The sequence below is a fragment of the Homo sapiens genome, chromosome 4, assembly GCF_000001405.40.
Source record: "Homo sapiens chromosome 4, GRCh38.p14 Primary Assembly".
NCBI lineage: Eukaryota > Metazoa > Chordata > Mammalia > Primates > Hominidae > Homo > Homo sapiens.
Window position 1 is genome coordinate 85660784 of NC_000004.12, and position 18508 is coordinate 85679291.

Here is an 18508-nt window from a genome sequence, read left to right on the forward strand (position 1 = left end):
GACTCCGTCTCAAAAAAAAAAAAAAAAAAAAAAATCTGTAGATGGGGATTGTTTAGAGAGCTGCTGGTAGACATAACCTTTCATTATTTTTAGAGTTTCAATTTGTAGCCGATTTGGTATTTTGAGACTTTCAGTTCATCTTCACTTACACCACTTTCATTAAAACTTCAGAAACAGAAATAGCCACAGGCAAACACTTTGAAGCATGCATCTTCCTTTTCTTATTTCTTACTAAGATATCTAAATTCAGACATTTGACCAGTAACATTGCAAAGATGATTCATATGTGTTACAAACTTAGAAAAGTCATTAGGAACATACTCAGATTTTGCTGTAAACATGTTTTGTTATAAAAGTGATGTGGGTGATTTTGCTTCTGCAGTTGAATGCAGTGAGTGGTTACTGTCAGAAACACAAAATACAGATTGTGACTGGTTAACAATCAGCCGATAAAAAAAGTAGCTTAGTTAACTGAAATTACATTAATTGGAGAATGAATCTAAGAAACCATAGAAGGAGCAGGACAACCCAATTTCCAGCATTATTCTGGTTTATCTTTTTCTCTGAGTGGTGAAAACAAAATACGTCGTAGGCTCAAATCTATTACAGTTTGTTTATTGTCAAGTCTTCATATGGTCCTCCATTATTTTGTTATTCTAGGCTTGCAAATTTTCAAAAACAATAAGGTATGTGAAAGTTTTATTTAAGTTAACAAATGTATAGCTTCTGCCTAACTTTTTTTTTTAATTATACTTTAAGTTTTAGGGTACATGTGCACATTGTGCAGGTTAGTTACATATGTATACATGTGCCATGCTGGTGTGCTGCACCCATTAACTGGTCATTTAGCATTAGGTATATCTCCTAATGCTATCCCTCCCCCCTTCCCCCACCCCACAACAGTCCCCAGAGTGTGATGTTCCCCTTCCTGTGTCCATGTGTTCTCATTGTTGAATTCCCACCTATGAGTGAGAGCATGCGGTGTTTGGTTTTTTGTCCTTGTGATAGTTTACTGAGAATGATGATTTCCAATTTCATCCATGTCCCTACAAAGGACATGAACTCATCATTTTTTATGGCTGCATAGAATTCCATGGTGTATATGTGCCACATTTTCTTAATCCAGTCTATCCTTATTGGACATTTGGGTTGGTTCCAAGTCTTTGCTATTGTGAATAGTGCAGCAGTAAACATACGTGTGCATGTGTCTTTATAGCAGCATGATTTGTAGTCCTTTGGGTATATACCCAGTAATGGGTTGGTTGGTCAAGTGGTATTTCTACTTCTAGATCCCTGAGGAATCGCCACACTGACTTCCACAAGGGTTGAACTAGTTTACAGTCCCACCAACAGTGTAAAAGTGTTCCTATTTCTCCACATCCTCTCCAGCACCTGTTGTTTCCTGACTTTCTAATGATTGCCATTCTAACTGGTGTGAGATGGTATTTCATTGTGGTTTTGATTTGCATTTCTCTGATGGCCAGTGATGGTGAGCATTTTTTCATGTGTTTTTTGGCTGCATAAATGTCTTCTTTTGAGAAGTGTCTGTTGATATCCTTCACCCACTTTTTGATGGGGTTGTTTGTTTTTTTATTGTAAATTTGTTTGAGTTCATTGTAGATTTTGGATATTATCCCTTTGTCAGATGAGTTCGTTGCGAAAATTTTCTCCCATTTTGTAGGTTGCCTTTTCACTCTGATGGTAGTTTCTTTTGCTGTGCAGAAGCTCTTTAGTTTAATTAGATCCCATTTGTCAATTTTGTCTTTTTTTGCCATTGCTTTTGGTGTTTTAGACATGAAGTCCTTGCCCATGCCTATGTCCTGAATGGTATTGCCTAGGTTTTCTTCTAGGGTTTTTATGGTTTTAGGTCTAACGTTTAAGTCTTTAATCCATCTTGAATTAATTTTTGTATAAGGTGTAAGGAAGGGATCCAGTTTCAGCTTTCTACATATGGCCAGCCAGTTTTCCCAGCACCATTTATTAAACAGGGAATCCTCTCCCCATTGCTTGTTTTTCTCAGGTTTGTCAAAGATCAGATAGTTGTAGATATGCGGCGTTATTTCTGAGGGCTCTGTTCTCTTCCATTGACCTATACCTCTGTTTAGGTACCAGTACCATGCTGTTTTGGTTACTGTAGCTTTGTAGTATAGTTTGAAGTCAGGTAGCGTGATGCCTCCAGCTTTGTTCTTTTGGCTTAGGATTGACTTGGTGATGCGGGCTCTTTTTTGGTTCCATATGAACTTTAAAGTAGTTTTTTCCAATTCTCTAAAGAAAGTCATTGGTAGCTTGATGGGGATGGCATTGAATCTATAAATTACCTCGGGCAGTGTGGCCATTTTCACGATATTGATTCTTCCTACCCATGAGCATGGAATGTTCTTCCATTTGTTTGTATCCTCTTTTATTTCATTGAGCAGTGGTTTGTAGTTCTCCTTGAAGAGGTCCTTCACGTCCCTTGTAAGTTGGACTCCTAGGTATTTTATTCTCTTTGAAGCAATTGTGAATGGGAGTTCACTCATGATTTGGCTCTCTGTTTGTTTGTTATTGGTGTATAAGAATGCTTGTGATTTTTGTACATTGATTTTGTATCCTGAGACTTTGCTGAAGTTGCTTATCAGCTTAAGGAGATTGTGGGCTGAGACAATGGGGTTTCCTAGATATACAATCATGTCATCTGCAAACAGGGACAATTTGACTTCCTCATTTCCTAATTGAATACCCTTGATTTCCTTCTCCTGCCTAATTGCCCTGGCCAGAACTTCCAACACTATGTTGAATAGGAGTGGTGAGAGAGGGCATCCCTGTCTTGTGCCAGTTTTCAAAGGGAATGCTTCCAGTTTTTGCCCATTCAGTATGATATTGGCTGTGGGTTTGTCATAGATAGCTCTTATTATTTTGAGATATGTCCCATCAATATCTAATTTATTGAGAGTTTTTAGCATGAAGGGTTGTTGAATTTTGTCAAAGGCTTTTTCTGCATCTATTGAGATACTCATGTGGTTTTTGTCTTTGGTTCTGTTTATATGCTGGATTACATTTATTGATTTGTGTATATTGAACCAGCCTTGCATCCCAGGGATGAAGCCCACTTGATCATGGTGGATAAGCTTTTTGATGTGCTGCTGGATTCAGTTTGCCAGTATTTTATTGAGGATTTTTGTATCAATGTTCATCAAGGATATTGGTCTAAAATTCTCTTTTTTGATTTTGTCTCTGCCCAGGTTTGGTATCAGGATGATGCTGGCCTCATAAAATGAGTTAGGGAGGATTCCCTATTGATTGGAATAGTTTCAGAAGGAATGGTACCAGTTCCTCCTTGTACCTCTGGTAGAATTCGGCTGTGAATCCATCTGGTCCTGGACTCTTTTTTGTTGGTAAGCTATTGATTATTGCCACAATTTCAGAGCCTGTTATTGGTCTATTCAGAGATTCAACTTCTTCCTGGTTTAGTCTTGGGAGAGTGTATGTGTCGAGGAATTTATCCATTTCTTCTGGATTTTCTAGTTTATTTGCGTAGAGGTGTTTGTAGTATTCTCTGATGATAGTTTGTATTTCTTTGGGATTGGTGGTGATATCCCCTTTATCATTTTTCATTGTGTCTATTTGATTCTTCTCTCTTTTCTTCTGTATTAGTCTTGCTAGCAGTCTATCAATTTTGTTGATCCTTTCAAAAAACCAGCCCCTGGATTCATTAATTTTTTGAAGGGTTTTTTTGTGTCTCTATTTCCTTCAGTTCTGCTCTGATTTTAGTTATTTCTTGCCTTCTGCTAGCTTTTGAATGTGTTTGCTCTTGCTTTTCTAGTTCTTTTAATTGTGATGTTAGGGTGTCAATTTTGGATCTTTCCTGCTTTCTCTTGTGGGCATTTAGTGCTATAAATTTCCCTCTACACACTGCTTTGAATGCGTCCCAGAGATTCTGGTATGTTGTGTCTTTGTTCTCGTTGGTTTCAAAGAACATCTTTATTTCTGCCTTCATTTCGTTATGTACCCAGTAGTCATTCAGGAGCAGGTTGTTCAGTTTCCACGTAGCTGAGCAGTTTTGAGTGAGTTTCTTAATCCTGAGTTCTAGTTTGATTGCACTGTGGTCTGAGAGACAGTTTGTTATAATTTCTGATCTTTTACATTTGCTGAGGAGAGCTTTGCTTCCAACTATGTGGTCAATTTTGGAATAGGTGTGGTATGGTGCTGAAAAAAAACATATATTCTATTGATTTGGGTTGGAGAGTTCTGTCGATGTCTATTAGGTCCCCTTGGTGCAGAGCTGAGTTCAATTCCTGGATATCCTTGTTAACTTTCTGTCTCGTTTTTCTGTCTAATGTTGACAGTGGGGTGTTAAAGTCTCCCATTATTATTGTGTGGGAGTCTAAGTTTCTTTGTAGGTCACTAAGGACTTGCTTTATGAATCTGAGTGCTCCTGTATTGGGTGCATATATATTTAGGATAGTTAGCTCTTCTTGTTGAATTGATCCCTTTACCATTATGTAATGGCCTTCTTTGTCTCTTTTGATCTTTGTTGGTTTAAAGTCTGTTTTATCAGAGACTAGGATTGCAACCCCTGCCTTTTTTTGTTTTCCATCTGCTTGGTAGATCTTCCTCCATCCTTTTATTTTCAGCCTATGTGTGTCTCTGCACGTGAGATGGGTATCCTGAATACAGCACACTGATGGGTCTTGACTCCTTATCCAATTTGCCAGTCTGTGTCTTTTAATTGGAGCATTTAGTCCATTTACATTTAAAGTTAATATTGTGATGTGTGAATTTGATCCTGTCATTATGATGTTAGCTGGTTATTTTGCTCGTTAGTTGATGCAGTTTCTTCCTAGCCTCGATGGTCTTTACAATTTGGCTTGATTTTGCAGCGGCTGGTACCGGTTTTTCCTTTCCATGTTTAGTGCTTCCTTCAGGAGCTCTTTTAGGGCAGGCCTGGTGGTGACAAAAATCTCTCAGCATTTGCTTGTCTGTAAAGGATTTTATTTCTCCTTCACTTATGAAGCTTAGTTTGGCTGGATATGAAATTCTGGGTTGAAAATTCTTTTCTTTAAGAATGTTGAATATTGGCCCCCACTCTCTTCTGGCTTGTAGGGTTTCTGCCAAGAGATCTGCTGTTAGTCTGATGGGCTTCCCTTTGTGGGTAACCTGACCTTTCTCTCTGGCTGCCCTTAACATTTTTTCCTTCATTTCAACTTTGGTGAATCTGACAATTATGTGTCTTGAAGTTTCACTTCTTGAGGAGTATCTTTGTGGCCTTCTCTGTATTTCCTGAATCTGAATTTTGGCCTGCCTTGCTAGATTGGGGAAGTTCTCCTGGATAATATCCTGCAGAGTGTTTTCCAACTTGGTTCCATTCTGCCCATCACTTTCAAGTACACCAATCAGATGTAGATTTGGTCTTTTCACATAGTCCTGTATTTCTTGGAGGCTTTGTTCGTTTGTTTTTATTCTTTTTTCTCTAAACTTCCCTTCTCGCTTCATTTCATTCATTTCATCTTCCATCACTGATACCCTTTCTTCCAGTTGATCGCATCGGCTCCTGAGGCTTCTGCATTCTTCACGTAGTTCTCAAGCTCCTGTAAGCACTTCTCTGTATTGGTTATTCTAGTTATACATTTGTCTAAATTTTTTTCAAAATTTTTAACTTCTTTGCCTTTGGTTTGAATTTCCTCCTGTAGCTCAGAGTAATTTTGATCGTCTGAAGCCTTCTTCTCTCAACTCGTCAAAGTCATTCTCCGTCCAGCTTTATTCCATTGCTGGTGAGGAACTGCATTCCTTTGGAGGAGGAGAGGCACTCTGCTTGTTAGAGTTTCCAGTTTTTCTGCTCAGTTTTTTCCCCATCTTTGTGGGTTTATCTACTTTTGGTCTTTGATGATGGTGATGTACAGATGGGTTTTTGGTGTGGATGTCCTTTCTGTTTGTTAGTTTTCCTTTTAACAGACAGGACCCTCAGCTGCAGGTCTGTTGGAGTTTGCTAGAGGTCCACTCCAGACCCTGTTTGCCTGGGTATCAGTAGCGGTGGCTGCAGCACAGCAGATTTTCGTGAACCGCGAATGCTGCTGTCTGATCGTTCCTCTGGAAGTTTTGTCTCAGAGGAGTACCCAGCCGTGTGAGATGTCAGTCTGCCCATACTGGGGGGTACCTCCCAGTTAGGCTCCTCAGGGGTCATGGGTCAGGGACCCACTTGAGGAGGCAGTCTGCCCGTTCTCAGATCTCCAGCTGCGTGCTGGGAGAACCACTGCTCTCTTCAAAGCTGTCAGACAGGGACATTTAAGTCTGCAGAGGTTACTGCTGTCTTTTTGTTTGTCTGTGCCCTGCCCCCAGAGGTGGAGCCTACAGAGGCAGGCAGGCCTCCTTGAGCTGTGGTGGGCTCCACCCAGTTGGAGCTTCCCAGCTGTTTTGTTTACCTAAGGAAGCCTGGGCAATGGCGGGCTCCCCTCCCCCAGCATTGCTGCCGCCTTGCAGTTTGATCTCAAACTGCTGTGCTAGCAATCGGTGAGACTCCATGGGCATAGGACCCTCTGAGCCAGGTGCTGGATATAATCTCCTGGTGCGCCATTTTTTAAGCCCGTCGGAAAAGCGCAGTATTAGGATGGGAGTGACCCGATTTTCCAGGTGCCATCTGTCACCCCTGTCTTTGACTAGGAAAGGGAACTCCCTGACCCCTTGTGCTTCCTGAGGGAGGCAATGCCTTGGCCTGCTTTGGCTCACACACAATGCACTGCACCCACTGTCCTGCACCCACTTTCTGGCACTCCTTAGTGAGATGAACCCCGTACCTCAGATGGAAATGCAGAAATCACCCATCTTCTGCGTCGCTCACGCTGGGAGCTGTAGACCGGAGCTGTTCCTATTCGGCCATCTTGGCTGCCACGCACTTTTTTGTTTATCCTCTGTTCTTCCCTAATGTTCATAAGTTATTTTACTGATCAGTAAGCTAAATGAATATTTGTGTTTTTCTGTATCCAGTATCATAAAGAATTAAAGGTTTCCATGAAAGCCAAATAAAAATCTATTGGATACAAGAATTTCTTAAATTACCCACCGACTTGTCTGATTCTCTTGAGGTTTACAATTATTTAATTGCTATTTTTTTCTCATTGATGTCAAGAAACAAGGAAAAGGAAATACACTTAAATTGAGCGTAGGGTCTGGTGACACCTAAAAATTATTTATGGAAAGGGTAAATAAACAAATACGATGTTTTGCTTAAGTGGTTGAGTAATATAAATATTAAAAGTCTTGTAAATGTAGAAAAGTTAGACATTTCAAGGCTTATTTAAATGCTGTTTGAGATTATCTCTTGTGATCCCCTTCAGTTTAGTGGCACTTTTTGATAGGCTGAAAAACAAGAAACAGAAGAAGTCAGAGTATAATGAGTTCCTTATTAAACTACACTTGCCCTAACTTCCATTCAGTGTTTTAGTTGGTTTACTCTAATACTATGTTCATACACTTTCAGCAGACTTATAATTTGTAATTTTCTCTGTTGTCAGGTTAAAGACCATTAAAGCAAAACAGAAAATGCTAAACAGCTTTATTTCATTCCTTCATCTATCTATTCAACAACTAGAAATTGAGAATTTACTGGGTGCAGGCACTTAGCTAGCCACAGGGGCTACTAGGAGAATAAAATTATATCCACAAGGATCTGGTGGTAAAAATGAAAGAGAGCAAAGGGTGCTGATACAAAATTAGAGTGCATTTTTAAAGTGTTATATAAACACTGACAAGTACAGGTTACTATAGTAGCACAGAGAAGAGGCTAGTGGCATCTTAGTAGAAGAAGAAACCTTTACTCTGGAATCAAAAGATGAGATGGAGTTAGGCAAAGAGGGAGAGAAGATGTGACTGTCCTTGCAAAGAGCCTGGCTTTTTTAACATCTTACTCTGTCTGAGTTTGAGAGGGGAAGTTTAGGAGATAAAGGGGTATGCAGGCGGTTCTTCATGATAGGCCTCATGATCCAATCCACGTTAAAGAGTTGGAACTTGACCCAGAGAACAATGAGGGATCATGGAGGAGTTTAAGCTGTAAATTAAAATGTTGGATATGTACTTTAGAGGGATTTCTCTGGCTCTAGCTTTGGAGAAAAGAAAGGAGATGGAAAGATAAAAGTAAAGAAGGTCAGTTACAAACCTGGTGAAGTAACTAAGACAGGAGAGTCTGAACTAAGATGAACATTGAAAGTGGGTAGATTTAGGTCCTAGGTTCAGTGGTTGAATTTCTAATATTCTCATTATGTGCCTTTGTGTGTGTGTGTGATTCTCTGAGTTGTTATCGCATTACTGAGTGACAGAAATTGCTCTAGTATCTTTGGGGTCTCAGCTTTTAGCACAGTGACCACACTATTCATTGTTGGGTAGACAAAACTCAGGGGTGCTGAGCTCTCAAAATTCACCTTTTATACTGGTGTCCATGCAGAAATTGCCTCAAAATTCAATCTTCACTCCTGAGGCAAGTTATCTAGAGAAACAACATGATGTTATGTAATTGAGGAATTTTGATACTTATTTGACTTTTCTCTACCCTATAAGCCTGATTTAGGTTTCAGGGTCATACTTTCAACACACTGTGGCAGTGTGTTGTAGCAGCAGCTCAATAGGCCCATTCTAATATTTCTGGTGCAGTCACAATTTACAGTAGTCTAGACATCACATAAGGAAGAGGAAGTCTGGAAGAAAAGTACAGAAATAGTGTTTGATGGGAGGAAGCGCTGTTAAAAAGAAGAAATGACCCATAAAAAGGTACGTATGTTTGTATGTAGGTATGTAGGTACGCACACATGTAGACACACAAATATGCTTACATATATATTAAAAATCTGAATTAAAAAGTTACAGGGTAGACTGCATTGACCCTGTACTTTCAAATATATATATATATATATATATATATATATATATATATATATATATATGTGATATATATAGCTATATTACAAACTTCTATGTGAAGCATCAGAAGTTTCAATCTAATCATATATTTAGTGGAATGAACTCTTCCATAGATGATAATAATAGGAAAATAATTTAGTGAATAATTTAGTGAATCTACTATAAAGTACAATAAAAGATATAGGTATTTGCAGCAATTCAGAAAAAATAAACCCAGCATATTGGTGACTAAATTATCCACTTGGGTAGGAACATGTGTCAACACCTCTTCTGGGGCTTTAGTGCAGGTCCCCAGAGCACTGATCCTCAGAAGGAGACTAGAAAAGTGGGAGGAGGAGAGAGGGGTGTGAGCTGTGGAAAGGAATTTTTATTCAGTTGGAATGGGGTGGCTGCAAACTTTATTTTACCCCAGGAATATTTTTTCCTACTTCAATAATATTTAACTCAGCCATTTTCCTCTCCAATAAACTGCCAAGCTTGTTTGGCTGCATAAATAAGCTGAACATGAACCACGGTGCCTGATGGTGCCAGCAAAGACAGAAAAGGAGATTAGGATGTGAGAAAAATTCTCTTAGGTTGCCTACTTCATATCCTGTCAACCTTCAGGTTAGGATAGAGTGATTCTGTTTGCCATTTATTTGACTTAAGTTAGAATTACATCTTGCCCATAGTGTTTGGAACTGTGAAATCTTAATAAGTGCTACGTTAGCCAATTCAAATAAAGCCACTCTTGAATCACCAATACTGCAAACAGAGCAGAAAGCTCTAGGGCATATTAAATTAATACGTTCTCAATCTCCTACATAATTTATATTCTGAATCCAATCAACTGAACAGTTGAGAACTTGAGCTCACTTTTTTCTGTCCTCTGTCTTCTCTTTGTGTCTCTTTTCTTGGAGAATGGTGTCACCACACCAGAAAGGAGGGAGGGGGTATAGTTTTAGTTCATTTATTCTTTGTGACTGAATTACTATTATTTATTTCAAACTCTCTTGCCTTGCCTCTTGCCATCCTTTAACTTAGGACTACATTTGTTCTTGTTGGAAAGTTTGCATTGCCTTTAAGCCACTCCCTGTACTTTAGATCATTTGCAAAATTTTCTTCACATTGTCCACAAAAGGACCAACTAATAGTCAAGCTGATCATGGGTTTCCCATGTTTAGAATACTTCAGTGGCCCCTATGAGCCTCAGGCAGTTCTCAAACAGGGACATGGGCCATGAATGTTTAAGAAAATGTACATAAAAGTCTTTACCCAAGACCTACAAAATTGGAAATCTCTGGGATTGGGGCCCAAGTGTGTGTTTGAAAAAAGGATTCGCAGATCATTCTAATGGTCACACTCAATTGAGCACAACTGACCTACGAGATAAATCTAAATTACTTTGTATGACATATAGAACCCTACGTTATTGGGCCCCTTTCTTGAATATTCTTAGATGACACCTTGTATTTTTTGCTTCATCGATACTGAACTCTGTTTAGTTTGCAAAACACAATTTTTTTAATGCCTCGGTGCCTTTACACTAAATGCTACCTCTAAATAGCCTTTCCTTCCCTTGATTCATCCACCTGCAAAAAGCCTGACTATCTTTCTAGCTTTGCTTTCTCTAAGCCTTTCTGCACTTCTCAGCAAGTATTACATGGTATTTTTTCCCTGTGTTTCCTCTATATTTTAACCACAGGTCCATTATAATAATTATCATATATTTGTTGGCATCTTTCCTCCTAAGAAATCAAATGAATATTTAGATTTTTATATTCCAGTGGCTTGGCTCAAAGTAGGTAATGAAATAAATATTTGTCAAATGAAAATGCAAGTAAAGTAAAAGATGTGTGGATGAATAGAAGTGATTCAACAAAGTTTGTGGTTGAAGAAGACAGGAGGTATATATAAAGAGAGGTTTTAGCTGTAGACTTTTGTTTTGGAGCTATGAGCACAGGCCTTCCATTTCTGTTAAGAATATGCTTCTTTTTCTTCTGGAATCTCCAAAAATACTTTTTATGTATCCAGTATATTTATGTGATTCAGAGCAGAGCTTTCTGTAGAACTTTTCTTACACTGACTTCTGAAGCTAGGAAATTATAGTTGAAGGGTAGGATTGCCTATAAAAATGGATACCTCTTAATAATGCCTCTACTAAAAAGAAGAATGTGCTACAAATGTACTATTGGACACATGCAGAACTATTCCTAAAAATGGACACTGAGAAACCTCAAAGACCCAGGGTCTGAAGTAAGTAGGTGCTTTTTTTTCCATTTGAGGAGCTGAGTTCACCAACCTTCAATACATTCCATCGTTTTGGGCCCCAAGCTTTTGAGTGAAATGTTAACCCATGAAAAAATGAATGAGTTTAATGTGAACACAACACAGTTTTCTGTTCCTAAGGAGGAAACAGGCTCAGAGAACTTTTTGCACACCAGGAGTCATTCTGTTGAGTTTTATGTGTGTAAATGAATCAGAAACCATATGGATTAAATTTCTCTTAAAAATACTTAGCCCTGTACATAAAGAAAAAAGAACATTGAGAGAAAATCTGAGTGGAGTTGGAATGAACTAGGGAGAGGCAATGTTTAATTAAGCCATGTTGTGGCCAGATGAGGCCCTTTCAATTTCCGGCTATAAACCTCTCTTGTTTTTGAAATACTTTTAACTTCTGTTTCCTTTTAGTCTAGCTTTCCTTTGGGAGTGAGCAAGTGGTTTCTCAACTCTCGGACTTCCTAACTTTGTTTCAGTTAAAGCATAGAATACACACAGATGTCACAATGAAGACACTGATAAGAATGATTATATTTCAGTATCCTCCTCCTACCTATCCGTCCCATCCTACCTTTGGTTGGAGTTGCACAGGCTGATCTTGGCAGTTGAGTTAAGGCAGAATCTTCCCATTACCAGCGTGATTATTACTCTTCATCAGCAGGCAAAGCTTGGCTACTCATCTGTTTTAGCACAAACCAAAAAGAGAGGTATTCCTGGTTCCAGCTGGGCTCTGGTGGTACAGGAAGAAGCTGGTTGTGTGGATTTCTCCATGGTGGGGAAACATTTGATGCTAAGTGTCAATCAGGATGAGGACTGGGGAAAAAACTTTATTTGAAAACACTTGGAAAGGAGAAATGGGAAATGCTGAATTCTTGCATTCTCAAAGGCTGGCTGCCTTTCTTTTTGTAATTAATTATCTCCCCTGCTGAGTGCTTATTTTCTTCATGTCTGTTGATTTGATGTTCTGCAACCATAGTGGTGTAATAGCACCCTATCTTTAACAATACATTGAATATATGCAACTCTTTCTCTGAGGGTGCTGGATTTCTTGTAGGTATTCAACTTAGTTCTCTTTTCTGAACTTGGGAGAGTGTGAGTTTGACGTTTACAAGGCTAGTCAGTGGATGTGGCATGGCTTTGATAGATCGAGCTGGAGAGAAGGCTTTCCCTTAACAAGGTAAGCATGAGCTTGCACAAAGAAAATGTTCAGTCTATAGCAGCTGTGCTACCCTGTTGCCCTTCCTTTTGTTCAAGTGCACTTCCCTTTAGTGGCCTGGATTCAGAGATTCTCTATCGCAGCTCTGCACTTGGGCAGTCCTTATTTGGGACAGCTCTTTATCTTCCTTTATAATTGTGCAGAAAGCTCTCAAGGTGTCCCCACTCACCTACATGCAGTTTCCTTTTAAAAGATGCAAACAGTTTATTGTATAATACTTAAATTTTGATACTCTTCCATACTCACTTGACAGCTGAATTTTATGATATCTTTCAACCACTCCATGGTTTGGAAAATATGAAATCTCTGTGAACTCTCTTTTCTTTCTCTGCTTCTCAGTCAGTGTTTCTCTCTGTCCTTTCCTTTATGCCTTCTGTTCTATTCTGTGCATGCAGTTTTCAAGATGTGAGTGAAAGAGAAAGAGAGAAGAAAGAAGTCTCAAATTTAGACCTGGAGAGCTAGAAAAGAGCTTGGAGATCATTCTAATACAGAATAACTCAAGGGAAAGTCATCCTCTCAATGCTTAGATCTCCCCACTGGTAAAGTGAAACACCAGTGGGGGGATCTAAGCATTGAGAGGATGACTTTCCCTTGAGTTATTCTGAAAGTTGATGGCTAAATTCTGGTTAGTTTACTTAGTCACTTAGAGTCTTTTTTCTTATAACTGCCAGGGCGTATTTTCAGAACCCCAAAATCTGGTTCCTTAGTCTGGCAAAGCACTTTTTCTGAAACCTGTGAATTTCCCTACAGAGGTTTATAAAATCTCATTTTGTTGCGTAGCTTGTATTTAATGGAAATAATAACATTACAAGAAATCTGCACTGGTAGAAAATCTGGACTAATGTGTTGTTAATAATGCACAGACTCTCATGATGTCTTACACTAGCCTGGGCTCTCGACTTACCCAACAAGTTAGTGGCATCTGGGACTAAACCCCAGTGTACTGGTCCACGCAGTGGTTCTCAATCTTTAGCATTCATCAGAACCATCTGGAGGGCTGATTCAGTAGATCTGCGGTGGGGCCCAATAATTTTCGTTTCCAACAGTTTTCCTGGATGCTGTTGATGCTGCAGGACCAGTGATCACACTTTAAGAACCACTGCCATAGCAGAAATAATGGTGTTTCTTTCTCTTCTGCCAGCCTAGTTAAAAGGGAAAAAAGTAGGCAAATTCAAGCAGTCTTGCTGAACAGTTCTCTAACTCTCAAATTCAGACTGTTTATCTTCCCTGTCAAAGATGCACTCATCTTTTAGGGAGATTATATGAATTGTTTTATTATTTACCCCAGAATAATACAAAATCTTTTTGATATATGGTGGCAACATCAATCTTTAAATCAATAAATCACCCTTTATATTTTATACTTTCATAAATGCATGTATAACTTATCTAAGTCAATTTGCATTTGCAGTTGCCACAGTGTGCTTAACATCACACAGTTAGTAAGCAGAGATATGGCAAGGATTAGAACTCAGTCATTTTAACTCCAAGTCCTATGTCCTTTTGATATAAGACTAATTGTGAAAATCAATGAGTTAATGGCACCTTTCATTGTCATGTAAGGATGTGCCAATCTGTGTAATGTTGCTATGCAGGATATACCAGGATTAACCTTGTAAACCTTGAACTAATTATTCACATTCCATGACTCCTATAACCATCTTGAATTGACCTGATGGATCTGCCTGAGGTAAACTTTTTGTTACTATTTGTCTGAGAGTTCCTTATGGATTATGGGGACAAAAACAAAGCCAAAAATAGCCACAAACAAATGTACGTCTAGCCAATTAGAGTTGCACAGATCTCGTCACAAGCATGGGGCAGCTGTAACAATTTGTAATCAGAGGGTTCTGCTGAAAACTTGTCATGGAGCTTATTCTTGAGCAGTATTTTGAAGAAAGATAACTGATCTGGTTTACAATATAGGAGAGGACACCTCTGGTGAGGAAAAAACAAGCAAGTAAAGACTGGTAAGCATTGTCCTTTGGCAGGAGTGAAAACCTAAAGGCTGCATGTAGCAGAAAGAGGAGGCCAATTATGTAAGTGAGAAGCCAGTTGAAAAAAACCATGACGCATGTGTCCCTGAGATACTTAGCTAAGACAATACTGTACATAATCAGGGTTTCCTTCATGGAAGTCAGGCAAGAGTCCAAATGAGAAATGCACGTTGTATCATCTACCCTTTCTAGTCCTCTATGAATGTTTTCTATAGGAAAGTATGCTTCCAGGGAGATTCAGCATGTATTCTGCAGCTGTGGGAAGTGGCATTAGCAGGCCAGAATGAAAATAAATCTAACAGAAGGGCAGAATGGTTAATGTGCCTGAAACCCTGGATACTGCAGTGGCCAAAAGAACCTGGAAGGGTCTGTGAGACACTGGATTGCGGGGTAACAATTTATGGATAACCTTCTAACAAAAGATTTCCCGTAACATTTAAAGTTGGTGAGATCCGCCTTCCCAAGATGGTGGGCATTGCCAGTAGAAAGTCCCAGCTCCTGGAAAAGTGATTACATTGAGCCTATGGAGTCATTCCAACCATGTAAGGGCTTGGCGGTGACTGAAGTGTGCGCTTTGCTTTGCTTGACATTATGTTGAGCTTCAGTTGGCTTGTAGCTCATCTCATTTGACAAAGCAAAGCTGCCTTATTGTTTGAACATTCCTCTGATGTTTATGTGCTCCTATCCACTCAAAGTCATCAGGCAGGATGGTTAGAGCCAATGCTGTTCATATGTAATTATGTTTGCTTTGAAATGCATATCTGACTCCTGCCCTGGACCTCAGCAACTGAAGTGACATCCTGTATACAGTCCCTATTTTATGACACTGTCTCCCACTGTGAGGTAAAAGTTTCCTGGAAGATAACAAAATCAAAATGGAGAAGAAATGAAAACAGTTTCCTAAGTTATAAATAATTGATAATGATGATAAAATTGATGGTAAGTTTTCATTGCATAATTTGATTGATATGGCAGTTATCATAGCAGCCTTGAACAGAATGCTCTTGTGAACAAGATAATTCATCTCACTGAGTCTGTTTCGGCACAAATATTTTAAAATGAAAGGCATAATAAATCTGTACATAGAATACACACACTGGGCTGCCAAACCTGCCACCTGTTTAAGCTTTTAATGAGCAGTCCTGCTTGCAACAAAAAGCCATATCAAATTAATGCTGACATTTTTCTTTGCTGCTGCTGTGCATATTCCAGGGACTCAGAGAGATCATTTTGCAAAATCCTCTAAATGGGGCAAACTCTGATTTTTTTCATTATAATTTAACAACTGTTAAGCAAGCTCCCCCGGAAACTGTATTTACATCTGCAGCTCAGTTGGGGCTTGGGGTCTGGGTTTAGGGGTGGAGTTGGTAGTGTTGGGTAAGTGGAGGGTCTGAACTCTAACCAAGTGGGAAAAGAACACTGAACAAGGAGTTAGGAAACTTAAATGTTTGTCTTGTTTCTCCTATTGTTACCAATGGTCCTTTTGGCTCCCAAGGACCTATTGTAGGTATTCACAGTGCACATTTTAGGTCTGGAGTTGGGAAGAGCAAGGAAAAGGGTTATGAAAAGATCAGTATAGTGTCTGAGGGGGCCAAGCAGTACCCATTCATCTTTTCAAAGACTTGCAGAGACACGGAGAGCAATGTTAGCTCATTCCCTAAATATACTGCACTTTAATTCTGTCAAAAGAAGTAGTTGTTTTGAAGTACAATAGCATGGTAAGGAAAGGATTCCCATATTTCCTATTCCAGTGTCATTAAAAGAAACAGGTGAGAGCAGGACTTGAGAAGTGGCAGCACATGAAACAAGCAAGCAGAGCCACTGCCTTCCTGAGGCTACCAGAAGGGAGGCTCCAGCCACACAGGGTGGAAGAACCCAACGGGGGCAGAGCAGAGCACTCACACTGGGGGAAAACGATTTCGTACAGGCTTTTATACAACAAGAAGCATTCCTCTTGAGCAACGTGGATATCCTCTGAATCAAGTAGCTTTGATTAAATAAAGGTCATTAGCAACAGACACACATGCAAGCCATTGCTTTTCCTTTTGCTTTGCTCTTCTCTCTTTATCCTCCTCACAACATCTTAATGAGCTTTTAATCCTCCATTTATATGTTATGTTTATGTACAGAAATTTATCTTGTAGTCCTGACCTTGGCAGGCAACCCACATTTTATATGCACATTCAGGGGTGGGAAGGATTCAAGTTTGCTACCCAACCTAGTTAGGCACACAGCCGGTACCTCCCTGCTGTCCCTTAGAGTGACAGCCAGGGAACAATGAGCTTAATTAACCTATTTCACATTCAGAATATATTTCCAGATAGCCTTTGGACCTGGCAGACCACCAAGGATGTACTCATTTCTGCTGCTGCTGCTGTTAATGATGAAGTGAGTTTTTAACCATGAACAGTTATGAGTCCTCTGATAACATTTCAGTGGTAAAATTCCTTTGAGCTTTTCATTTATTTTAATAGTGATTCTGTAAAAGGAATAAAGTCCAGGTTTGCTGGCCAAAAGCAAGTGATGTCATGTGTACACCTAGTCTGTTTAGGTCAGAGATACACTTAACATCAAATGTCAGAAAAATGAGCACAAGCCAACTGTTTGTTGGTATTATGTATTAACTTTCCATTTTGTAGGCTCTTGTTTCTCACTAATTTTAATGTGCTAATTAATTTACTAGTTTATCAAGTTTTTAAAGAGCTGTTTCAGCCTGAAAAACATAGCAAGACCCTATCTCTATAGAGAATTAGCCAGACATGGGGCCGTGTGCCCGTAGTCCCAGTTATTGGGAAAACTGAGGCAAGAGCATCACTTGAGTCCAGGAGTTCGAGGATGTAGTGAACTGTGATTGTACTACTGTGCTCCAGCCTGGGCCAAAGAGTGAGGCTCCATCAAAGAAAAAAAAAAGAAAAAGGAAAAAAATTTTAAAAAAAGGCTATTCCTGGCCTGCCATGGTAACTCATGCCTGAATTCCAACACTTTGGGAAGCTAATGCAGGAGGATCACGTTAGGCCAGGAATTCAGGACTACTCTGGGCACCATAGTGAGACCCCATCTCTACAAAAAGTAAAAAAATTAGCATGGCATAGTGGTGACCTGCCTGTAGTCCCAGCTACTCAGGAGACTGAGACAGGAGGATCGTTTGAGCCCAGGAGTTTGAGGCTGCACTGAGCTATGATTGCACCACTGTACTCCAGCCTGGGTGACAAAGCAAGACTCTGTCTCTAAAACAAACAAACAAGCAAAAGGGCTATTTTCTTTGAAAAGTAGTATCAAAGTTCAACACAATCAAGAATTTTCGGTTCAATGCCCAAATTTGTTTTCATTTATAGTACTTTCAAAAAGAATTTAAAGGAATCACATAATGAAAGACACAAGCAAAACATTAAAACAAGAGCCAAATAATAAAGTCATTTGGAGAAATATGATTAATACCAGGAAGCTTCTGATTGTTCAGACTGTAATTCTAGGCAGTCAGGTTGAAAAAATGATCTGTAAAGTCAGCATCAATGTATCAGACTACAAACAGTGCAAAATAAAGTGTAACTACATTTTTATATAGCTCATATTCATCTGAATTTCAAATTCCTATTCTGACTGACAATAAAAACATGATTCAAACAAGTCTTAGTCATTTTCAGATTTACAGTCAGTTGAAACAGGATCTTTCCTTTCTCATCTCCAAAATGGACATTTTGTTATAGGAAGTACAAGGCTACAGCATCCAGAGAGGTGTCCGATGCATGCTGGCAATGTAGGGGCCAAGGGAAAATTTCCCTTTATCCTCTGAAGGTTTGCTAAAAGAAATCCATTGCAAAAAGCAGATTAACACAAGAAAAGATATTCAAATTTATTGACAGGCGCAGGAGTCACGCAAAATATAAGAACTCAAAGAAAGGCAAGATGGTTGACACTTTTATACCATCTTGAGGTTACAGAAAGAATAGGGGAGCTTAGAGCATGGCAAGACAAGTTATATGAGAGGAAGAAGAGGAGAAACCTGGCTAGCAAAGGTGGTCTTGTGGTGTAGATGAAAGCTTGCAGGTAGCAGCCCTCAGAGAGAATAGATGGTGAATATTTCTCTCAGATCTTTAAAGGTTCATACTCTCAGTTCATCTTTCCTAGACCTGGACAAGGGGGGCTTCAG

The 18508-nt window shown here is 39.3% G+C and overlaps 1 protein-coding gene across 2 annotated transcripts in view, besides 1 other annotated feature; it reads left to right on the forward strand.

The window, feature by feature from the left end:
- The window catches only part of ARHGAP24 (Rho GTPase activating protein 24), a 527517-nt gene that overhangs the window by 185634 nt on the left and 323375 nt on the right, over positions 1-18508 (forward strand). The window contains exon 1 of one of the 2 annotated variants that reach the window (XM_024454238.2): positions 12222-12322. The exons of the other annotated variant lie outside the window; for it this stretch is intronic. The gene's annotated coding sequence lies outside the window, so the exon portion shown is untranslated. Of the gene's footprint in view, positions 1-12221; positions 12323-18508 lie in introns of those variants that run through there. 2 annotated transcript variants of the gene reach the window in all.
- Positions 5842-7041: an enhancer, noted in NCBI's record as "BRD4-independent group 4 enhancer chr4:86587778-86588977 (GRCh37/hg19 assembly coordinates)". NCBI's record gives its function as "activates an origin of replication core promoter dependent on BRD2, P300/CBP, MED14 and CDK7 cofactors, and independent of BRD4, by STARR-seq in HCT116 cells {active_cell/tissue: HCT116}" and the evidence as "EXISTENCE:reporter gene assay evidence [ECO:0000049][PMID:35650434]".